Source organism: Homo sapiens, chromosome 6 (assembly GCF_000001405.40).
Source record: "Homo sapiens chromosome 6, GRCh38.p14 Primary Assembly".
Lineage (NCBI taxonomy): Eukaryota > Metazoa > Chordata > Mammalia > Primates > Hominidae > Homo > Homo sapiens.
In genome coordinates, this window is record NC_000006.12 from 14,187,090 (window position 1) to 14,212,053 (window position 24,964).

At 44.2% G+C, this 24,964-nt stretch overlaps 1 long non-coding RNA gene across 1 annotated transcript, besides 4 other annotated features; it reads right to left on the reverse strand.

Annotated features, from left to right (window-relative positions):
• Positions 395–595: a silencer, noted in NCBI's record as "peak5669 fragment used in MPRA reporter construct". NCBI's record gives its function as "represses an SCP1 promoter by STARR-seq MPRAs in K562 erythroleukemia cells {active_cell/tissue: K562}" and the evidence as "EXISTENCE:reporter gene assay evidence [ECO:0000049][PMID:32103011]".
• Positions 7,360–15,205, reverse strand: LOC105374940 (uncharacterized). The gene is made up of 2 exons (XR_926501.2): positions 13,541–15,205; positions 7,360–8,187 (listed from the first exon to the last, which is right to left on the reverse strand). It is a non-coding gene; the product is annotated as an uncharacterized LOC105374940 (long non-coding RNA).
• Positions 22,746–22,795: a silencer, noted in NCBI's record as "silent region_16943". NCBI's record gives its function as "represses an Ori minimal core promoter by ATAC-STARR-seq in GM12878 lymphoblastoid cells {active_cell/tissue: GM12878}" and the evidence as "EXISTENCE:reporter gene assay evidence [ECO:0000049][PMID:35858748]".
• Positions 23,886–24,325: a silencer, noted in NCBI's record as "silent region_16944". NCBI's record gives its function as "represses an Ori minimal core promoter by ATAC-STARR-seq in GM12878 lymphoblastoid cells {active_cell/tissue: GM12878}" and the evidence as "EXISTENCE:reporter gene assay evidence [ECO:0000049][PMID:35858748]".
• Positions 24,576–24,635: an enhancer, noted in NCBI's record as "active region_24049". NCBI's record gives its function as "activates an Ori minimal core promoter by ATAC-STARR-seq in GM12878 lymphoblastoid cells {active_cell/tissue: GM12878}" and the evidence as "EXISTENCE:reporter gene assay evidence [ECO:0000049][PMID:35858748]".

A 24,964-nucleotide genomic window follows, 5' to 3' on the forward strand; every position in this document is an offset into this window, starting at 1 on the left:
ATCCGTGGCTTTTCCTTCTATCCGTGGATGGCCAGGCCCTAGACTGGCCTTTGTAGTCTGATTTATTTTTCTTTCAGGAATCTATTGTGAACATTTTTACATATCAAGAAACATTGGTCTACAGGATGACTTTTAATGGCTGCATTTATATAAGTCATGTGAGCGTCTATCTTGATTTAGTGATCCAATTTCCTATTGTTGATTATCTAGGTTGTTTTTAAATTTTCTTCTCTTTCTTTTTCTCTTTCTGTCCCATTACAAATAGAGCTGAGATGAATATTCTTGAACCTACACATTTGTGCACTTGTCTGATTAGTTCTTTAGGAAATATTCTAGAAATAGAGCTACTGGTTGAAAGGACAAGCATATCTGATAAGTACATTTTCAAGGCATTTAACATGTTTTCCTTTCATCCTAAACAAGCCCTTAAGTTGGAAATTATTCTTCAAGTCTCATTGAGCCTCGGGGAGCTCAGTGCTTCATGAAAGTCTGAGGCAATCACAAGAGTGTGGGAGGTGCTGGAATAGGAGAAGTCCAGGCAGTGAGAGGAAGGTGGGTCAGGAAAGGCTTCTGAGAGGATGCCACATCTAGACAAGGACTTCCAGAGTCTGTCTGTTCACAGCTGTGCTCAACGGTGCCATATTAAACGCATGCATGAGAAAGAATTCCTAATAGACTTTATAGCTAAATGATTTTTTTGCATGACTAAATAGCATCAGCTGAAATATAAAACATAAAACAAGCTCCTCAAAATGAATCAAAGCAAAATAAGAGAATTTCTAATAATTTATGAGGCCTGTTTATTTCGACACCCTTTAAGTAGGCATAGGAAAAAGATGAGGAAATGATCGTATTTTGTAGCAATTAATGAGGTCAAGTTATGAGACTCTGTCATCAAGTTTAATTCATATCTTCTTTCTTTAAAATTGACATTTTTGCACTTGACTCCTTATAGTAACCTATAGAAGATTTGGGAGAAGAGTGGAATATTCATTTTTTTTCTTATGTTAAAATTTTGTTTTTTAGAGACAGGGTCTCACTATGTGGCCCAGGATGGTCTTGAATTCCTGGCCTCAAGCAATCCTCTCCCATCAGCCTCTCGAGTAGATGAGACTATATGCTTGTGCCACCATGCCTGGCTAAGAATGGAATATCCTAACATGGTCTTAACTCTCTTTCATGGGCCAACTACCACATCTGAAGGAACTTCTCTCAAATACTGTGGCCTGGGGCCAGTAGGCTGGCCAAAGGGCTCCTCAACTGCAATCCTGTCAGGTAAAAACAGATCCTCCTTCTGGGATGTGGCCCTACCAAAGGCAGCAGAATGACCCCCAAAGACCTCTTGAGGTTCCTTCCACACAAGGATTCAAGAATTGTCAATGGACGCCTCTGTGAGAACAGCTAACAGCTATCCAGTGAACAGGTAGTTGGGAGTAGAGGGGAAATGACAGAAATCAGAGTACAGGGAATTCCACTATGCCCTGGTTTTCGAGAAAAATCATGGCAAAACATTCCGGAGCACCAACATTATTCTGCTTCCACGATACTAAAGGACAATTCTTTCATTTTATTATTACCTTGTGCATTGCCCTGCCCCAATTATTAACACTTTCACGACACAACACTGGATTGTTCAGATGAACAAAGTACGTTAGTTTGTAATGTAGTGAAGTGGGCATATTGTTGATGGTTCTTCACCAGGGTTGACAAATATATGACACAAATGTTGCAACATACAGCAACCTGCTGCCCTCCCATGCTGGTCTGATGCCCTGGCAGACATTGCTAATCGGTCACTACACTCTTCCTAAATCCATCCCGGATCGCAGAGCCTCACTGAGACTCAGGGTTGCTGGGTGGTACCACTCCAGGAGGCACCAGTTGTATTATACTCTATGGGAATGTACCTCTGCTGTCATAAAATGGGGTAGCCCTGCCGTTGTGCATAGAACATAGTAGACACAAAATAAAAATTCATTGAATGAACCAGATATGACCTCTGAATCCTTCTCAACATAACACTTCAAACAGCCACTACAAATTGATTGGATTTGGCATGCAAGTTGAACCTATTTGCTATTCCTGCTTTAAGGAAACACAGTAAGAGGCTGCCAACATGAAACATATTTAATCATCTTTGCACAAGTGTGTGTTGGGTACATGCATAATGTGTATGCAAATACAGTTTGCTTAGAACATGCAACTCTCTCCTCTCCCTCCCTCCTACTCCATCCCTAAATATACAATTTCATAAAAACCACACCTGCAACTGCTTATTGGAATGGGAAGGGCTCCAACTTATGTTCTCAAATTTATAACACTTGCCTGTGGATTTCTAAACCGCGGTTCCTCTGATAAACTACAGTGCCTGGCAGAAAGGTACAAAATATTTCTATCTGGGCCTAACGAAGTTTTCCTTGGCTTTCCAACCCGGGTTGATTAAACCCATGTTTGTGGACATTGCTCTTTTCTTTCTCCCTCCCCGTTTGGCTTCATACCTGTCCCTTCCACTGCTCCCATCGCATTAGACTAAGAGAAGAACCAGACACGTTCGGTACCAAAGAGGTCATCGGCAAATTCCAAAATTTGTTAAAATTTTTGTAAAAATTAGTTGAAAAAGTAACAGGAAAGAGAGGCAGGATAAGCACGTTTTGTATTCATCTCCCAGGGTTTGCAGTGTTGCTCAGCTTCACGATGAAATGGGAGATGCACTATTTCACTGGCCATGAAATAGAAAGTTTCAAAATCCTGTTGTAAAGACAATTTCAAAATAGACACCTCTCAATCCCATTCCCCATTTACCGTTTTTGAAAAATAGCATTAATTTACAAATGTTCTGTTCCTAATCAGTCACACGGAAAACCATCCTGCCTTCACATTTATCCTTTTACCTTATGTCCCCTCAGAAACCATTTAGGGGAAAAAAGGTCTTAAAACAATTCCATTCCATTACTTTCAGAAGCTTATACCGAGTTTACAGTTTTGACAGTGTAATTGTCTGTCCCTGAGCCTATGGCCCCTTTTGCTAAAGAGCAGAAGGAAAAATCTTATCTTGACCAAAAAGTAAACAATATCAGGCAATAGTAGAAGGAAAGATAAATATTTGGGATAGATAAATGTTGGTTTGATTCAGCTAGGACCATAGCTTTGGGTTATTAAAAGAGCCTCAAGTGGATAAAATTTGGCCCTAAATTTTGTAGTGAGGTTAGCACTACCCTATGGGAAATGCAAAACACTTTTCGCTTATTTTGGTTTTGGAAAATGTCATAGGAAACACATTTAAAGTCCATTAAATGCGATTGGAGTTGACAAGATTCATTCTGGTGAAAGGCTGGGTAAAGCCAGAACTAAAAGTTTCCCATCAGCTCAGACAACCTTAGCTAGTAGTTGATAATATGTGTTAAATTAGTCAAAATGGAGACAAAACTAGTGACCCCCTTGAGAACCAAAATAGCTCCTTAATGAAAGAAATGGAGTTTAAAAATTAAATAGAATATTGGCTGATGTACATTTTGGAGATTATAAATTTGCAAAATCCCCTTATGTCGTTATTAGTTGAAGTTGAAATTGCCAAATGGGCCCCTGGAGATGTGATAGGAAGGCACATGTTGGAAGATCTGAAATCTTGCTCCCTCTCTGAAGGAAGGGTGGCTCAAGCCATGTGCAGCGTGAGCTGGAGGCTGGATAGGGTCGAGTAAACTTTGGGTTGGTTTTCTCACAGTTTTTGTTAATGCGTGTTGAGTGTTGTCTTTCTTTCTCTCCAATTTTCAGACATGGGGCCCTTGGGAGCAGTAATCCTCCAGCCAGGCTTTCTGAGAAGGTTCACATCCAAGTAAAACATGAATTTTCTGAGCCAATTTGATAGGCAATTCGTCTGAACAGAGCTCTTGTTTTGCCAACAGATAGAAATGAAGCTGAGAGTATTACAATACCCAGGGCAGGGAGAGTATTAAAGCTGTGACAGAGACTGAGGCAGGCAACTTCACATAAGCAGAGGGTAGGGAGGCGTGAGGATGGGAAACCACCTTCCCGGGAGTTGACAGGCGGCTGATGGCGGCTCTTTCATTACAACCTCACCACCAATCATTAAAGGATTTAGGAATTATAGCAAAGTGGTACTTTTATCCGTGAGATTTAGGCGCTTCTCCATGTCATCTCTTCTGTACCCCCAGCACCTAGAACATACAGTAGGCTCTCAATACTGGGTACTATTGAGTGTTGGAAAGAGCACAGGTATGGTTTAGCACAGCCCCTCCATTGCCATTTATAAGCTGAGAGGCCCTGGGTCCATTACTTAATTTCACAAAATGTTTTTCAATTTTTTTCTTCTGTAAAATGGAATTATCGTTTCTACCTAGTAGGGCTGTTTGGAGGATTAAACAATACAAAGAAGGTAAAATGCCTATCATAGTCACTCAATAAGTATTTCTTATTTTCCTGATTACAAATTAAATAAATGATTGATAATCATCAAAATGCATTTGTATAATGTGCTAGGTGCTGTCCTAAGTGGCTAGAGGTTGATACTATTGCTATCCTCACTTAATAGATGGAAAATACAGTTTTAGAGATGAAAAATAACCTAGAGGGAATGGCACATGGGACCTGTGGCTGAGAAGAGGCCCTAGGAATTCTGTGGCTGCCAGAAGTGAGACCTAGGAGTGGACGTGGGCTATTGGGCTTCCTCCTTGACCGGATCCAGGCCTTCCTTGCATCTTGGACAGTCCGTCTCACAGAATTTGGGACTGTGCAGAGTGAGAATCCAATGAGCTGCCTGAAACTGGTGCTCACCAAGAATTTATGGAAGTTTTTATTGCTATTTCCAACTGAGAACTTTTCTTCAATCATTTATGGAAAACATAAAAGCCAGTGGGAATCAACTAGGATAAAACAAGGTCAGAACCACTCTTCCAGATGCTGAGCACAGCTGGTTTTTGCTTAAGCAGTGGAAGCAAGAAAGAAGGATATCCATTGGCTATTTGGGTCAGAAACAGCACCTTAAAATATCTCCTCCATAATTCATCTCGTCCCAAATAGAATGTGGGGTCAAATTGCAGACCCTAAACCTTTTCATCCCTTCTCCTCTTCCTTCTCTTCTTCTTCCTTTTTCTTCTTCTTTTTCTTATCTCATGGGATTGGTATGAAAAATAATAAGGATTTTATTCCACAATGGAAAAAAAAATATCTCTCTGGGGTGGTAGATACCGCAATTCCAGAAACAAGCTGGAATGCACCAAGAGCTCCCTTATATGCCTAAATGCAGGCTGCTCTTCCTCTGCCTCTATTTTACAGCTGGGGGAGCCATTGCCCTGGGAACAAAGAGGAAAATGGGAACAATCCTAATTTTAATATTCATAACTCATGAGCAGTCTGAAAGTTTTTTTAATAAGTTCACGATTGTCCTTTGAACTTTTAATACTCCTTTTACCCAAGGGGCTTTGGAGGGGTTTGAGAAGAGCCAACCAGCCAAGATCACCCTCCCACTCCATGACCTGTAGATAGCACCCTGCCTGGGAACTCGACAGAGAGAAAGCATCTGTCCATCCCACACTGGCTATCTCCAGGAGTCCAGAAGAGCATGACTCTTGCTCCCAGGAACAGATCTCAGGCTGCCAGTAATCCATGTGTAACTGCAGAAAGGAACACTGGTGGGGGGTTAATACCAGATTGGCACATTCACATGTTTGGCATTCTCATATGCTGTTCATAACACAAATCCACCAATCCTCCTTTTGGGGATACACCCTGGAATGGCTGGAAGAGACAGACTGGGGCCCACTGCTCTGAAGCCTTGTATGGTGGTGGTGTGCCTGGGAGGAGGTAGCAGGCACCATCTTCCTGATAGGAAGCCACCTGGACTGATCCCAGGGTCCCTGCCTCCTGAAAGCAGGGGAGAAAACCTGGGTTTGTACTCTGATTGTCAGTGTGCCCAAGAGTCTAGAAGAGATTTCAGTGAGATGGAAGAATGATTATTTAAATGATACAAGCATTTGCTTTTAAAGTTGGAGAGAAGGAAAGCGTAGAATTTAAAATGCCCTTGAGTCTGCCCATGGGAAAGAGTTTAGGGAGTGACACTGAGGAGAACGGAAGGCTTTTAGGGGAGGACCAAAGACTATTAGAGTTCTTTTTGGGAATGGTAATGAGCTATCGAAAAAGTGATGCCTGAGAAGAAAAAGCAAGAGGGGAGCAGTCTGTGATAGAAAGGTAAATGAGTCATTTGATGAGTAGAGTGCATCTCAATCTTCAGTGTGCATTAGAGTCAGGGGAAGGCAGGAAGGTAACTATAAAGCGCCTTTCCCTAGGACCTCTTGAGGCTCCAATGCAGTGGGTCTGGGCCATGGTTTGATCACGACGTGGGCACTCCGCAAAGCACGCCTTGAAATACACTAAATGGGATAGCTAAAGACAGGGCGTAGAATCAAGAAACCCAGGAAAATTCCTAGTAGGTGCCTAGAATGAGTGGAGGGAGATGGTTGAAAGAGCAGCTGCCGAGGTGGTAGGTCCCTGTCTTATAAGGACAGGTTGCAGGGTACAGGAGAGGCTGAAGAGTCCCAGGGTGGACTGAGGACAGTGTGGAATGCCTGGGAGGCTGGGGTGTGGAATGCATGAGAAAGTTGCTCCAGGACTCCCTGCTCCCCCAGGGTGCAGATCATTTAATGGTCTGCAAATGATTTAACATCTCCCCTAGTCTGGGTTCCCAGGGTAAATTGTCTCCATTCCCACCACAGAGGAGCTGTGCTGTCCAACAGCTAGCAGGCCGGGAGCCACTGTGCTGGGTGGGGTGCTTTGGCCAGAATGTTGCTGGAAGTGGCACTGTAGCAATTACTGCTTAAGAACTAACTGTAATTATTAATTATGACCCTAACAACAGTTGAGGTCCTGCATAATTCTTTCTGTGGGCTGCCTTTTGCCTGCGGAGCCCAATTTCTCAAACGTCTCATTAGTCTTAAAATAGTTTTTTTCTATATATAATTTTTTCTTCCAAAGTCAGTTGTATATATAAAAAAGGATTATAGTTGTATAAAAACAGGATCTATAGAAATAGATTTATTTTTAGCCAAGAGGCGGCAATACTCAAGCTTTCCTTCTCAGCGCAGGGCTTATTTCTCTTTCTCTATTTAAATATTCAGGTCTATTACTATACTGAACTGAGATTTGGTTTATTCTGGTAGAAGTAGCTAAATAAGGGTACACACTTAGCAACTCATAACTTCATATGTTTAAGTGCTGGAATAAGGTGTAAGTTAAAATCGGGCTTTTTGATTTTCACTGTAGATAGAGTTCAGAAATACTGTCATAGTTAAAAAAAAAACCAAAATGTTTCAGCTCCGGGAGAAAATGAAACTCTGTGATACAATAGACGGTGCTTGTGATTTTATTTAACAGTTTAATCTTTGCATACAAACAAAACCACCTGAACAGAAGCTGGTTTCTTAAAAACAAGAGCAGCGAGTATGATAATAAATGCCCTGAACACATCTCTGCTCATCCTATGGAATCTCTTTCGGAATTCGCATGTAGCTTTCCCTAATACGGAGCAAGGGGCTTTAAGTCACACTGCCATTCCCAACTGCTGTGCCTAAATTGCTTCTAGAAGCACCGAGCCCCTCCGATGCTGATGCAGATTTAGCTTTGGGCTGGGGAGAATGTGGGGAGAAGTCATTTGCATTAAAAAAACACTAGCTGTCTATTCCCATTAGAAAAAACTCTCGGTGTTTTAGTACAAATTATTTTAAAAGAGCAGATAACTTATGGATGCAGAAAGGGTAATCCACAAAGATGTATGCAACTTTGTTCAGTTGATGTCCTCAGGGCGAAAACATCAAGGATAACAAGTGTACTAAATACAAACAGACACAATCATAAAATATGACACCCATGATTAAGATACCCTTTTCAAGGGTCCTTCGCACTTAGGAGGGAAGCTGCCTTGTTAATATCAGGGCCCGTTATTTACTACGATTCAGAGGCAGGTTGAAACAATGATCTCTTCTTTCTTGACTGTATTCTTAAAAGGTTGTGAAATTCTGGGGCTTTAATCAGACTAGCCTAGAATCACAGCGCTGGGTCAGAGAGGGGATTAGTGTTAAGGGTTATGAGCTCAGTCTTCGGAGCTGGACAGATCTGGTTTGGAATCCCAGCTCTGACACTTAGATATCATCTTCTCTGAAGTCTAGGGGTCTTCATCTGCAAATGAGAAATTGAGGTTGTTGAGAGGATTAAACACAACAAAACAAAACCAAAAACCCAGATGTAAAGTGCTTAGTATAGTGCCTGGCATAGAAAAAAAAAAAGAGTGTGTGTTTCCTTCCTGAGTGCCTGAATACAGAAAAGATGGGAGAATTTTTAAAATGCACTATTCACTGATATATGAAGGAAAGAGATTTTTATGGTTTAAGAAAAATTGCACCAAGATCTTGGTAATTTTAGGTAGTAAGAGGAAAATGGAAGCGCATAACTGTCTGCGTTTGTGGATGGCACTGATACAATAACTGTTCATAGCCAACACTTAGGTATATCTCTTTCATTTATCTGAGAGTAAGTTAACAGTTCTTGAGCATTTGCTTGGTGCCAAGTGCCCTTTAAGTGCTTTATATGTGTTGTTTCATTTAATCTTTAAAACATCATCATGAGTAGGCACTAATACTGTTACAGGAGGTAGCCAGTCAGGCATGAGCAGGGCAGGAGAGGGCTTCCCCGCCCCCCCACCAAAAATGTCAGGCAACCATCAGGTGATGGTCAGGCGGTTGTTAACTGTCTCTCTAAAATAATAATTGTTCGCAGCCAGCACCAGGGAAAAGGCAGTCTCCCAATAAACACAAACACCTGAAACTGGCGATCAGCAGCTTCCCGATAAGATGCCAGGAGTTGGGCGAGTGGGCTCAAGCATGTGCATTAAGAGGCAATATGGCGGCGCTTAACTAGTATATGACCTCCTAGGTACATTTGACTAGTAAGAGATGAGTACTTCAAGTAAACATGCGTGCAACTCCAGTAAACACACTGCACATGCTCCCCTCACAAGTGCTGAGAGGCCACTGTGATTCTTCCCACCCTTCCCACCCCAGGGGAAGACTCAGGAGAGAAGGACCCAAGACCCCGGAAGCATGCCAACATGGAAAACTCCAACTCCAAAGGTCAAACCATGCACCTGATCTCTCATTGCCCACTTGGGCCTCTTCCAAGTGTACTTTATTTCCTTTTGTTTCTGCTCTAAGCTTTTTAATAAACTTTCACTCCTGCTCTAAAACTTAACCTCAGTCTCTCCTTCTGGCCCTCAGTCGAATTCTTTCTGCTGAGGAGGCAAGAATTGAGATGCTGCAGATTCGTACAGATTCGCAGCCGCGCTAACAATACTATCCCCATTCCACGGGGCAAGAAACATAGGAACAAAGAAGCTAAGTATTGATAATTTGTCCAAAGTCACAAAGCTAGTAAGAAGTGGAAACTGTATTTAAATTCAGGCACTTATTCCAGAGTATACTGTCTTTTTTTTTTTCTTTCAAATTTTTCTTCTTTTTTACTTTTTCTTTCAGCTTTCCAAGGTTGAACCGAGTCTACTTTCTTAACCACTCTATTGTGTGTTTTATTTATTTTTATATCTCTCACAGCATCATAAATAGTGCTTTGCACCTAGAGGACACTGAATATTTATCCAATGATTTTTTTAAAGAATGCAAGCCTTTGCTGTGAACGTGAGGGAGAAGGAAAGGGTTAAAGTGTTCTATCAGATTTTAGAACAATAAAGTCAAGTAGACAGATGGCATCTTACCAAAGAACAATGGCATAAAACTATTTATGGAGCCCTGTAGGCAGTGAGCAAGTGACTGAACATGGTTTAAGTCCTAAATTTGGAACCAGAAGAATACCAATAGCAAATGCATGCTGGTTAATTATTTCCCTCTGCACAATACCTACAAAATCACCTAGAACATTAAGACCTGTGTCATCACTAAACTTTTGTGAAATTATCATGATCTAGTGGAAAGGCCACAGGGTTGGGTCTGACCAGACCTAAATAAAACATCAAATTCCACCTCTTCCCAGCTGTGTGACTTTGGATACATTATTCAGCATCTTTGAGCCCTAGTATGCCCAATTTGAAAGGAAGGGGGCGTGTAACAAAAATACTAACTCCCAGCTTCCTGACATGAGATAAAGTATATGAAACTGTTGTGTTAATAATGAAACACTGGAGAAATACACATTCTTAAGTAACATTAGTTTTTACAACAGAAAACCCTCACATATCTACAGGGTGATGCAATAGACATTTTTTTTTCTTTTCTTTTCTCAGAGTGGGTCTTCCTAACTGGCCGGTAGCTCCAGTCTCTGTGGTAATTTAGAGACTGAAGCCCCTTTCATCTGTGGCTCGTCCACCTCCACAGGTTTGCTGTGGAAGGGGAAGAAGTGTGGAAAACTCCTGTAGGATGTTTCTGTAGACCAGAAAGTGGCTCAGTCCTATGGCCACCACTACATACAAGGGATGCTGGGAAATGCCATCTAGGGATGGCGGCAGGCATAAAAGGAAAAGGTTTTGGCCACTGACTGGCAATTCCAACTCCCAGTTTTTCATCAGGCTGTTGTAAGATTAAATGAGTGAAAGCAGAGGAGATGGCTCTGTTAATCATAAAACACTATGATATTATAGCCAATTCCTAATGTAGATGCCCAAACATAGGAATATTCCAAACAGAAATGTAAAGCTCTCATCCATTTGTTTTCTTAAATGCCAATTCCAAGGACAGTTTGCCAAGGCACATGGTGCCTGGTGATTGTCCCAACAGGTGAGCAGGCTGATGGCAATTCAGTGTGGTCAGGTAGAGTGGTCGTGGCCACACATGACTCCATTAGAGGCCGTTTGATCGTGTGAAAGGCTTGCAAACTCACAGGACATTGGTCATTGACTACTGTGCAATAGACTCATCAGATAAAAAAAGCTGAATAGGAAATTTGGAAAGAAAAGCATAGCAAGGGCCAAAAATGATACAGATGGATCTTTGTGAAAGAGCTATCGTGTCCTCTTCCCTTTCTATCTGAATGCACTAACAACTTCTGAGGATAAGTGAATTTGCCATTCCTCCCTGTGCAATCAAGAAGGATTTCTCAGTGAAGAGCAATTTCATAGATTTTTTATTATAACATGATTTTTTTGTTTCGGTCATCTTTTAGGAAGTGGATGTGCACTGAACATCCCAATTTTCCAGGAAAGAATTGATAAGTGACATGTATTCATCTGTTTCCATCACTAAATGTTTTGTATTTTATTTGTAATATATTATTTTTGTTTTAAGGTAAATCCAGATGTATTCAGGGGATACAGAATGATTTTTAATACTTTTTTGGTGGATTCCAATGATATATAATGTGTATATTATATAAAGGATTTTCTAACGGATACTCTTTTTAACTCCTTTATTTCTTACCATTCTTTATGTCACATATTATGTGCCATTCTTTACCTGGTAAAATACCTTTTGTTCAATTATTATACTCTTTGGAGTCAATAGATCTAAATTCTGAAAATAAAGTTAAGCAAAAATGGGTTATCAGGCCTTCTCTGACTACTTGGTCTAATACAGTGCATCATCTTGACATTCTACTTGGGTTGCCTTATTTTTCTTCTTGGCCTAGTATATATTTATGTATTTATTGCTGGGCTTTACCTACTAAAACATAAGCTCCATGAGGGTAGGGATTTTGGATGTCTTTGTTCCCTGCTGTATGCCTGGGCCATGGAATAGTGCCTGGTACCTAATGGATGTTCAGTGATATTGGCTAAATACATGCAAACATGAAAATTAGGTCTTGAATATCCTGGATCAATGATCTACTGTGTTAATCTTCCCCTCTATCTCAGGACTTTATTCCTCTAAAGCAGCACCTGAGAAAAACCGCTTGTCTCTGCCCAGCCACCTCCATTTATGTTTGAGTGAAGCTCATGATGTCTGCATCTCCTGGCATAGAAGAGGAGCTACTCTCTGGTGTTGCTCCCTAGACCCAGCCTATTTAAGAGCCATGCTGTCTTTCCACATGGCTGGGATAGAATGAGGCACGGGAAGTTACAGCGACAAGGATGAATTTCCAAGGATGAATAATTCTCACAGGAAAAGAGCACCGTGGTCTTGGGTAGAGAGTGGGGAAAGTTGGGAGAAGGATTTAAGGAATGGTCAGTGCTTTACAGTTATTTCAAGTTTTTCCTTTTATTATCAAGAAAGAATAAATAGATTTATAAATACATATATAGATAGTAGAGCAGGATAAAAACATTCCATTTCTTAAAAGAGTTACTAATAATTTTTTTGGAGAGAGAACTGCCTTTGGGAATGTCTGCTTGGGGCAGGTGAGACTTCGTAGACAGGGACAGATGACAAGGATTAAGGAAGAGAGTTCACTGCTTTGAGGGAAGAACTGGGTGAAGAGGAGAGAGAAGGAAAACTCAGTGAGATGGCTGGACTAGGAGAGTGAGGGCCAGGAAGGCCCCATGGAGGTTGTAGCCACCAGCCCTCAAGATGGCCCCGTTTCCTGGTATTCACACCGAGTATTCACACAACATAACTCTCTTCCACGTTGTACCAGGGCTAGTTTGTGTGGCCAATTAGAATATGACAGGAATGGCTGTATGTCACTTTCAAGATTAGGTTATAAAAGAGTATGGCTTCTTCTTGGGATCTCTCTCTCTTTCTGTGAGCAACTATGGAGAAGCTCATGTGTCAAGGAGATGAAGACTCTGGACAACAGCCAATAAGGAGCTGAGTTCTGTCAGCAATTACCTGAGTGATCTTGCAAGGAACTCCACTGGCGCTGGGTGAGTCTCGAGGTGACTGCAGCCCCATGAAAGCCCCTGAGCCAAAACAACCTAGAGGAGCCACTCCTAGATCCCTCAGGTAACACTTTAATACATTTCCAACTCTTTAAAGTTGGTAATGTTGGGGGGTAATTTGTTATGCAGCAATAGCTAATGAATACAGTGGTAGAGGAGACAAAGAGCATATTATTCACAGTGACGTCTGTTGTTTTATGGAGGGTTCTGAGTAGAAAATGGACTCTGATCCTGTCTTAGTCCAATCAGGCTGCAGTAACAAAATACCATAGACTTCGTAGTGGATATAGTTTGAATATATGTCCCCACTAAAACTCGTGTTGAAATGTAATCCCTGATGGTAGGAGGTGATTAGTCATAGGGGCAGATCCCTCATGGCTTGGTGCCATCCTCATGATACTGAGTGAGTTCTTGCAAGATCTGGTCATTTAAAAGTGTGTAGCCCTTCTCCTTCTCCCCCAACTCTCTCTCTCTTGCTCCTTCTTTGGCCACGTGATATGTTGGCTCCCTCTTTGCCTTCTGCCATGATTGAAGTCTTCCTGAGGCCTCCCCAGAAGCTGGGCAGATGCCAGCGCCATGCTTCCTGTACAGCCTGCAGAACCATGAGCCAGTTAAACCTCTTTTCTTTACAAATTACCTAGTCTTAGGGATTTCTTTATAGCAATGCAAGAATGGCCTAATACAGTAGCTTATAAACAACAGAAATGTATTTCTTACCGTTCTGGAGGCTGAGAAGTCCAAGATTAAGGTACTGGCAGATTCAATATCTGGAGAAGGCCTATTTTATGGTTCATACATGGCACTTTCTTGCCATGTGCTCACATGGTGGAAGGGACGAGGAGTGTCTCTCAGGCCTCTTTTATAAGGGCACTAATCCCATTTACGAAGGTCTTGCCATTATGACCTAACAATCCCATAGTCCCTACCTCCCAATAACCTCACCTTGGGGGTTAGGATTTCAACCCATGAATTTCGGGCGAACATAAACATCCAGACCATAGCTGATCCACATCTATCTTTAGACTCTGGGACACACTTTGTGCACCTGGGCAGCAAAGAAACCAGGAGGGGGAGACTTGGGTACCTTGAAGGACTTGGGGCTTTGAATTTTCCTCTGAGATGATTTAGATGGACCTGAGTTGAGCTGAGGATAGTCTTCTTGAAACAGACACAATCACCAAAACTCTGGCTTAAATTGGCAACGTATCACAGTGTAAGGTGTAAGGTGGTAAGTAGGGAGCATCTTTCTTGCAACCAACAGAAAACATGCTCAGACTGACTTATGCACAACAGGGTTTTAATTGCCTGCTATAACTGAAAGGGCCAGAGATGGGTTGGCTTCAGGAGGGGTTGGATCCAGTGGCTACACAATATCCCCTGGTTTGGCTCCACCTGCCTCTCTGGCCTCCTCAGAGTCAACATCACCCCAAGCCTGGCTTCTGACATGATCACAAGATGGCTACCAGCCATGTAGGGGGCTGTGCATAGGATGGCAGCCTCCTTGTTCATGTCCAGCCGGCATGGACAGCTTTACTCTTCTGACCTGCAAAATGAAGTCACATGCTTCACATTGGCAAGACGAGCTGAGGTCATGAGTTCAATTCTGGATCTGTGTTCTCCCGCCTGGCTGGTGGCTTCTCCCTATCTCCCTGGGCAAGGGGGCTGGGTTTTGCAGGTGGATTAGTCCTGGAGCTGAAGGTGGGGTTCATAACGGAGCCATGGTGGAAGGAAGGCTGGAACTGAGGTCCAGAGAGATTCAGGGGCTTGCCCAAGGCCAAACAGTGAGAAAGGTGAGAACTAGGTCTTGATGCAGAGTCTGTCTGGCCCCCAACTCCACGCTTTCCTCCTCTTGCCACATGGCTGTCACCCACTCAGTGTTCAGAAACAAAAACATATGATCCCCTCCCATGTGTCTGGCACTGTGCTTTTTTCTGTGTTCATGCATTCATTTTTCACACCAGTCCTGTGCAGTGGATATTGGTATTATTATTCCCATGTTGCTGATGAAGCAGTGGGGTCTCAGGATGTGCAAGCATCTCGCAGGAAACTGGCAGAGACCAGAGGAGTCCTCTGAACAGGCAGCTGAGTGGGAATCTCTGTGGGATGCTGTGGGGCCCCTTGCTGAGAGGGGCTCCGAGCTGTGGGGCGTGGGGTGTCAGGCATGCAGTCAGGTGGCAGGAGCAGCATTCCAGTTCGAATTTTCAAGCATTTTGGAAATTTTGAAAGCCATCCTCCAGCTCAGAACATTTCTCAGTCTTGATCATCTCCCATTAACCCTTACCATCACTGCTCCAGTGCCCTCCACCCCACACACGCAGAGACACACAGACACACAGACACAAAGACACATACACACACACAGATATGCAGACACAGACATGCAGAAACACATAGACACACAGATACACACACACATATACATAGAGGGAAACACACACACAGACACACATACACACAGACACACACACAGACACACATAAACAGACATACATACAGACATGCACAGACACACATACAGATTCATATACACACAGACACACGTGCACGTGTATGCGCACACACTGTCCTTCCATCTCTTCAGCTCACGCCAGCCTCCTGATTCCTCACTCACCCAGCCTCTGGTTTCTTTCCAGGGTTTTGTCTCTTGCCTGGAGTGAACAGCCTTGCAGCTTGTTCCCTGCCCTCCTGCCCCAGAAACAAGCACCCCCTCCGTCTGAACGTTTTTCTGAGCACTTTACCATTAGTGATAGTGAGACACATTCTAGAAAGTTCCTGTTTCACAGGGATGGCATGCAGAAAGCCAGCACTTGAGAAGAACATGCAACTTAGCAAGGCTTGCTCATCTTTCCCCATGATGACGGAGCCCCTGAGGGGCTGAGTGGTGAGAAGAGAAGCGGGGCCTGAGCGCTGCATGGGAGCCTCACACAGGGAGAGGGAGAGGGTCCTCTGGAGTGCTGTGGCTTTGCCCTTCTCTCTTTTCCTTCTTGTCCCATGGCACTGTCAGGATCCTTCTGGGCTCCCATTAGCTCAAGGATTGAATGAGGCAGGCGCTGGTGGACGGGAAGACTCCAAGGAGTGAACATTGTGAGGATAAGATGAGAAGATGAAGGAAGCCCACAGGGACAGGACGGGATTTCCCAAGAAACAAGTCTGTACCTGCCTTGTTTATGTTTTATACACAAAGGATGCTCAGATACAAAGAATATCCTTGTTTTAGCCTGTCTGTCCACATGGCAAATCATTACGCACCAACTCGTCACTCTCCGACGCTGCAGTAAACTGCCTGCACTTGCCACCTCTTCGTCTGCGGCCCGGCTCATAAGCCTTCTTCTTGATCACTTGGTTTCTTGCCTACTGTCGGGTGGAAGGAGGCCACAGACCCTGGAATCAGGAGAACTTGCTGTAGTTGTCAGCTCTCCTGCTTAAGGAAGGCACTTTACCTCCCAGGGCCTCCGTTTCCACTTTTGTAAAACTAGGATAATGCTGTTGCCTAGTTGTGTTGAAAATGAAAGGGGGTGACATGTATAAAATAAATACTGGAGAGTGGAAATTCTTGCCCCTTGTGAAATGTCGTCATTACAAACACATGGAGTAATACCAAAGTACCTAGCAAGTTGCAGGAAGAGAGAGGCTACTAGAAATAGCACATACACAGTATCATTTTTGGGTGAATTTAAGTAATTCTTCATCTCCTTGTACACTTCAGCTGCTGAGTACATGGATCTGTCGTATAGGCAATAGAAAGGCTACAAGTCTTGGTATTTTCTTCAGGTGATGGGAACAAACTTGGCTCTAGCCACCTTGACACCCATGTTCAAATTGGGAGAAAAAATTTTCTCTCTTGGATGTTCAAATCAGAGGCAAGTCCTAGAAGGTGGAAGAGATGTCAACATCAGGCTGGAAGTGCAACAGTGGATGACAAAGCCCTGCCAATAGGTGGCTGGAGGAGACGCTGGCTTTAGCAAAAAACCCTTCTCTACCAGGCCCCAGGAACCCATGGAAGGTGAATCGCAAATAGTAATTATAGGGGGAATGAGAACAAGCATTGGTGTGACTCATCCATGCACCAAGTCACTGGCACCCCTCTTTCCTCTCTTCCAAATCTCCTCTCTTCCTGTAGCTGGTTTGAGGACTCCTATGTTGCCTTTGAAACTGTGAAAATTTTCTTGGGTCCATCTCTTTGGTTGCAGTTGCTTCTGTTGCTGCTACTACCTTACTTCTCAACACAGATCTTCCAAGGGATCAGACATTGCTGTTGGCGCACATGTTGACTCTCTGCTCCTATCATAGCCAATGGGAGTGCAAGAACCCAGCAAGTAGCTTCTACGGCCACTGGGATGGGAGATGGGTATTTTTCACCATATGTATCTTTCTTTATTGAGCTCCTCAAAGGGTAGTCTCACTCTTCCTGCATTAAAAAATGAACAAACAAGCAAAACACAACTGTCCTGTCCCTGGATGAAAGTATCCTTGGCTGACTCAGAGGACAACAAACAGGTCTATCCAATGTCTCACCCCAAACTGTCCAGCTGTCTCAGTCCCCAATGTGTGCTCCAGGATAAAAGCAGGAATGTCTCCTTCTGTCTGAAATCCATCCAGGGAATTTCCTGGGAATTGGGGGGTAGTCTTTGCCCCTGGCATTTGTTTGTGTGCTTGATTCCAGAGTCCCTGGCTCCATCTCCAGTCCCCAGAGTCCTTTTACCATTCCTCCCAGTAGGCCCAGTGTTTTCATGCAAAAGGAACCCCTGTTTCTGCTCATCAGACTTAGGCAAGGACAGAATTTTAGAGCTAAAAGAAATCTAATTTTGTTTCTTTACTGTATGCAGAACTAGAGAGGCCATGTAATTTGTCTATAAGTTCACATCTAGTTAGGGGCGGAGCTAGACTCAATTCTTGGTCTTGGAGTGTCTAAGTCAGACCTCTTTCCACTGGAGCAGTCACTCATTCCTCAAGCGGGAGTCCCCAAATGGTGATGATCACCTCAGGCAGCTGACAAAGGGGTTCATAGTATCTATGTGTGGTCAGCAAAATGTGGGGCAGTTTTCAAGCAATCAAAAATAGATTGGAAGAGAAGTACACCTATATCCGTAAAATTGAATTTATTGGAGGAAGAGTAATTTACATCTGAAATACAATTCAAGATTAATCTAATATAGACCAGACATGGAGAATTAACTCTTCTGACTGTTATTTTTGAGAATACGCATAATTGCTTCCTTTTTCTCGATAACGGATAAGATTATTTTTATTGTTCCTGACAGCTCCAGTATTTTCTTTTCCTTTCTTTTTTTTTTTGCGACGTAGTCTGTGTCACCCAGGCTGGAGTGCAGTGGCAACCTCTGCCTCCCCGGTTCAAGCATTCCTCCCACCTCAGCCTTCCTAGTAGCTGGGACTACAGGCGCATGCCACCATGCCCAGCTAATTTTTGTGTTTTCATAGAGACAGGGTTTCACCATGTTGGCCAGGCTGGTCTCAAACTCCTGACCTCAGGTGATCCACCCGCCTCGGCCTCCCAAAGTGCTGGGATTAGAGCCATGAGCCACCACGCCCAGCCAACACCTCCAGTATTTTCAAGACAAAATGTGAAATTTCTTGAAGTTGTCATTCCTCAACTGATTATTTTCTATTTAATCCATTAAGTATATGTCAATAACGTGTGTATTTTTATAAAACAGTCACACATATCTCTCATGTACTTTTTTTCTTGTCTTGGGATAACTAGACTAACCCAAGCAGTCCCAAAGGGGTGCCCTGGTGTACCCCAAGAGATACTGAGTTTTTCCAAGAGCAGGGACTCTGTGTAATCTGTCTTTGGCTCCACATTGTCCCTCTCCGTATAAAGTGCTATTTTTTTTGTGGAAGCCAAAACATTCCTTTGGGACTATGGACTACAGAGTATCTATGGAGATACTATCTTTAGATCCTATTTGCATTAATGGGATCCTTTCATTCCAGAGGCTCCGAGTCTCTGGTCACTCAGCATGTAAGCCCTACATAGCGTTTTGTCTGTTGGAGCTCGTGAGCACTCTGCAGGCATCCATGCAGCAGCAGTGACTTCAGGTGTGGGGGACCAGAAATCAAATCGGGCCACGTCATCCACTGTTCTGGACACCCCAGCTTCCTCAGCAGGGTTCAGCTGCTATTTCCTATCTATACTCAGGTACATACCTGGCCCTGTGTTGATTCAACAGCTGTGGGAAATTCAGAAGCCAGGCTTGGTCTAAGGGGTCTATGAGAAGAAGTGACAGAAAGGTCTTGGCCAGGCATCATTGGTTTCCCCTTATCCCTCCTACCTGTCATTTCTGGGTGCCCATTTCCTTGTAGATCTAGAATTCTGGGGCACAGTCACTAAGCAAAAGTCTAGTCTCCTACTCAGACCTTATAGGAGTGGGCACAGTGTTCCCTGAAGCTACCTCCTTTCTCCCCAGGTAGCCATTTCCACCTTCTTTTCCTTCAGCATCCACGTATGAGAGAGTCTCTGAAGATCCCATTGTGCTAGCCAATGGAGGGATGACTTCTATTTGCAGCTCTAAGGGAGTCAAGGTGAAAACCTGAATAAGTAAAAAAAATCTTATCTTCTTCCTAGATAAACTCTCAGGCAGTTCAGTATTGTGAAACAGTTGGGCGCAACTTGGGAGCTGGGAAAGACTAGGTTTAAATGTCAGATTTGCCACTTACTCACTGTGTGACCTTGGTTAAGTTTCAAAACCCAGTTTCCTTATCTGAAAAATGGGGGAAATAGTAATGCATACATCATAGGGTTCTTATGAGGAGTAACTGATAAAGCAAAGTGCTTGTCTCAAAAAATATTGGCTACTATTATTGTTAAGCTTTGTGATATGGACTATGACCCAGTTCGACCTCGTTTGTCTTTCAGATGAAAAAACTGGGCCTCAGAAATGTGATGTTCTGTTCAGCTGCCACACAGCTATAGATAATGATATTTAAAATGAGCTTCTTGGCCTCTGAAACTCAGCTCAAGGCTTTTCTACATCATACTTTGAGTACAACTTACAATGCACCACCCCCACCCCGAACTTCCCGCCACCAAGCTTGAAAAATAATTAAGTATAAAACATGATGTGTATTTTTTGAAGCATTTCTGGCATAATCTTGTTTTATATTTATTGCCTACAACTTTGGACTCTATGACACTGGATATGTGCAAGTGTGTGCTTAATAATTGTCGGCTAACCGAATGACACTAAAGTTAAAGAGGATGATTGACTAGAAGTTAACATTGTGTACAATTTGTTTTCCCAAGAACAGACATAGTTAAGAATAGCAAGTCTCTATGATGTATTTATTTATTTTTACCTTAAATGTTCTGCTATTCCTAAGAACAGCAAAGATTAAAGGAAAAAACAAAAGCCAGTGTGGTGACAGTGAAAGTGTATCCACTTGCTTGGATATTAGGATTACCCCAGATGATGCAGATAGTCTCGTGGGATTAGAGGTCAGAGAGAAGGCAGATCATATGCAGCAGCTGGACACCATATTGTTGACCACTTGGAATAAAATCCCTTCTGTCTTGCCCTTATACACAAATTTATACCAATTACTCAGGTCCAAAGTTGACTTCCGATTCTAGCCTTAACAGACAAGTGCTGAGCCTATCAAGTTTTATTGCAGTCAATACATCTCCCTTCCAGAAGCAACTGGTCACAGCCATTTCCAACAGAAAGCTGCCTGGGCCACCCTTTCTTCTTTTTATAGTTTGTTTCCAGACACTCAGTGACCCATAAAGTTAACTTATAACCAAGTCACAGCCATGACCAGAGCTGTTGTTCTTGTGTCCACCCCTAAAGTTGCCTTTTCCCAGGATGTGCACACTCAGAGGCAATGAATCATACTGTTTGTCCTTTGTGGGGTCATTCCTTTTGGTTGAACCCCAGGTCCTGGGTCCTTAACCCAGACTGTTTCCTTTAAACATTCTCCAAACTCTGGGGTTTTTAAGATTTTGTAGTTTGCCCTTATGAACGTGTATATTGCATGAACCCTGTCTTAATGGAGATGTGCCTCCTGCGTGGTGAGCTGGGGTCAAGGCGTGCTGTGGGCTTGAACCATCTGTGCAAACATAACAATGATTGAGTTGATATTTCTATTTTGATGTCCTGGTGGTGTCACTTACAACCTAATTTGTCTTCTCACCCTTCATTCCCTCTGGGGTGAGGATATATATATTGAAGAAAGGTTGATAAAGCAAGTCAGCCTGTAGGCTGAGTTGGAATTGAATTATTTAAGGAAGGCCATGAGGGCACAGGCTCCCGCAATGCTCATGTGCATGACTGTGATTACTAAGTCACCCAACCTCTTAATTTTCTGGATTTAGGTAGGTTAATAAGATTCCTTGATCAAGCTAACTAGTTATGGAACTAGTTAAAAGCAGGACCAAGGTTGGAACTAATATCTTCTCATCCCCATTGTGTTTTTCTCATTACACCATACGTGTTCCATCAACATCTTTTTTCCTCCCTGTGGCAGAGAGATTGGCTTTACAAATAGGGAGGGAGTGATGAAAGATATTTTGGTTTTAGCTTGCGACTATCTCCTATAACATAATTAAATAAATGAAGAAAGAAAACGGGTTAAATCTCATCATAGAAATATACAATGTTAGGAAATTTTGATTTATAGAATTTTAGAAATGGAAGGTACTTTAAAACAATCACCTAGCACAGTGAGTTTCCAACTGTGTTCAGTGAAACCCCAGGGTTCTGCACAGATGCCTCAAGGCCTTTAAAAGGTAGGAGAAGAGAGTATATAGGACTCAGAGCTTTCTGCCTCAGGGCCATTAAAGCAAGTCTGTCTTTATCTGTTTTATATGTTGGGGTTTTATGTTGGATTTTGTTATAAATGGGGAATCACTTCTAAGGAAAATTTGCAAGCTGTAAATCTAGGTCAAACCCCTCAATTTACAGATGAGAAAACTGAGGCCTGGAATCTTGAACCTGTGGAGTTGCCAAGTAAGACTCTTTATTCCATTCTAGGGATTAGGAAACTAAGATTCCAAGATTCAGATCTTAAAGTTTTGTAGAAAGTTATGGATTTTGTCAAGTGGCAGAGCCAGGGCTGAAGCTAGCTGTATGTTTTTTTTTCATTCCTAGTGCATGACTTTTCCCAACATATCATGTTATTTAACAATATCCAACATATGGTGATCTTACTGCTCCATGATCAAAGAAGTCAGAGAGAATGAAGGTCCTAGAGGCAGGAGTTTGAGGGAGCCGATTAAGAGAGAATAGTCCACTAGTGTGGGGGAGGTGACTATGGAAACAGGGTGATTTATTTTCATTTCCTTTCTTCACGGTTCCATTTCATTCTGCAAATTCCCTGCTGCAATGCTGTATCCCCAGTATCTAAGCCCAGGCCTGGCAATTAGAGCACAATACATATTTGTGGATTCAGACTTTCAAATGCACGTCCTTGTGACATCCTTCAAACAGTGTACTGGTCAGGAACTCAAGAGTATGGTACATTTAAAAATCAAATACTATATCAAATTTGGAGAAGCATAACCATTAAGGTAGTGTATTTCAACACTGGTAGGTGCACAAAGCCTGCTCTCTAAAAGAAGCAAGTGGCCGGGTGCGGTGGCTCATGCCTGTAATCCCAGCACTTTGGGAGACGGAGGCGGGTAGATTACTGGAGATCCGAGTTCAAGACCAGCTTGGCCAACATGGTGAAACTTCGTCTCTACTGAAAATACAAAATTAGCCAGGCATGCTGGTGGGCACCTGTAATCCCAGCTACTCGGGAGGCTGAGGCAGGAGAAGCACTTGAACCTGGGAGGCGGAGGTTGCAGTAGGCCAAGATTGCACCATTGCACTCCAACCTGAGCAAAAAGAGCGAAACTCCATCTCAAAAAAAAGGAAGTAAGGGAAGTAAGTAACTCAGCTGGCAGGGTCTGAATCAGAGTGGATCACTTTCTCTGAGCTGCCCTGGCACAGCCCAATTGTACCTATGTCTCAGGCATGGTCCCCAGTGTCAGCAGACACACTGATCCTGGTGGAGGGAAGTGCACATCGTGCAAGGCATTCCCATAAGCCACCGGACAGGTGTTCAACTGCCCTCTGGGTAGCCTGACCCTGAATGAGTTTAAATAGAAACAAATAAAACCTAGGATCAGAAGGTTCTTATATTGTACTTAAAGTGGTTAGCATTTGTAGTAGGTTATCAAAGAATATTGTACAACATCTTTCCCTAGGGAACTTTAAGAATAGGATGGCTAGATCCTGCAGTCTGAGATATTTTTGTCTCTATAATAACACCTTAGCACGGTATCACAGCTTATAGTACGTGCCTCGAGGCCAGGCATGGATTAGATACCCTTCTGAGGCCATCTGCTCCCTGGATTTGTTTCAAAGGAATGAAACACGAGGTGGAAAGGGAGAGAGATAGAGAGCTAGAGAGAGAGGAGAGAAAGAGAGACCGATCCACGGACCCTATTAACAGGGTGAAATCTGCCTAAACTAGGAAGCCAGAGGAGTAAGACCCTGATGGAAACCACGCTTGCCTGTCGGTCCTGATTTTGCCCCAGTCCTTCAATACGCCTCTCACGGTTTGTGCTACGGTCTTCTGTGCGTTCAGGGGTGGGCTGGTTTATGTCAACATAGTGGGTTTACTGTAAAAATCATTATTGGTACTTTTGGATGTGGCTTTTCTATTTAAAATAATTAAAACCAACGAAGCTTTTTCTTTCTGACCCAATTCCTGGCTGTCCTCTGCTTTGGTGTCTTCAGGCCAACCCTGGGCTCTGGGAAGCTCTAAGGATGGAGCCTGTCTCCTCCACCTGCTACACGCAGGGCAAGAGGGCCAATGCGCACCCCGCCACGGCCAGGAGCCTCATTATTCTTTTTGTTTTAATTCCCCTGTGTGGATCCAAATGGCAGTCCCAGGCCCATGGATAAGCAACAAGTGGCTGGAGGAGGGACAAATCGGGCTCTCCGCGTCGCTCCCCGCCTGCTTCCTACCCGCGCCGCCGCCCACTGCCCCGTACAGGGGTCGCAGCCGTGGAGCGTGGGAATGGGACAGTCCCATTTTACAGCTCTCGTTCATCCCGCCTGCGGCAGGCGGCTCCTGACAGGGAAGAGCAAGCTTTCTGGACTTCCCCACCCGCGGTCCCACCGGGCCCGTGGCGCGCCCACGCCTCCTCCCGGGCCCCTTACCTCCCGCGCGCGGCGGGCGCACGCACCACCTGACTCGCGTTCTCATTGGCTGCTGCCTGTTGCTAACCCACGTGACCGGAGCCGCGCGCCCCGCCCCCGCGGGCTCCCGCTCGGCCGGCGCGTTCCTGCGGGCGTTCGCTGGCCGGCGTCGGGCTCCGAGCCGCGGGTCGCTCGCCTCGCCGGCTTCGCCCCGCCGCGCCGCTGCCGCCGATGCCCACAAGGTGGCAGTGCCGCGCTGCGTGTCCCGTCGCCCGGGTCCGCGCGAGCCGCGCCAGGCGGCCGGTGCCAGCGCAGCCTCCCGCAAAAGTTTCCCTGCTCCGGAACGGACCGGGGCATCGCACTCTCCTGGCGGGCTGGTGACAGTCCTCCCGTTCTCGGGTTGCCTCGGGGCGATTTGCACTTCACAGCCCCGCTGGCGTCTCCTGGCGTCCCGAACTTGGGGCCTGTCACTGAGGCAAGTCGATGTTTTCAGGAGTGTTTTGTTTTGTTTTGTTTTAGGATCTGTACGCTAATAATTGATCCTAAAGAGGCAGGCAGACACCCCGACAGCGACACCTCGTCTCTCTTCTGGGCGTCCGGCTGAGCTTGCCTCACTGCAGAAGCAACCGATAGCTTCCCTTTGCGCTGGTGGAAGACACAAGCCAGCAGCCCTTCGGAGGGGCCTCCCCGCACGCGCCTCTTGGGATCCTGACTTGCTTAGGAAGAGGAGGGCACGGGGAGCCTCCTGCTCTGCAGCTGTCCCCAGGATGCCCTTAATTCCCGGGACAGGAGAGATAAGCTCGTCTGACCTCAGTTGACCTCGCCGCAGGCGCCAGGCGTCCTCATTTACTGCGAGGCATTGGGGAGTCTACTTTTCTCTCTGCTCCCTGGGATTTTTTTCCTTACGTCACTTTTTTCCTTGTTGGCTTGTAGCTGGTCTGATGTCCCCTTACTGCTATCTAAACCGCCCCCCTCTACTCCCTGCTCCCACCTA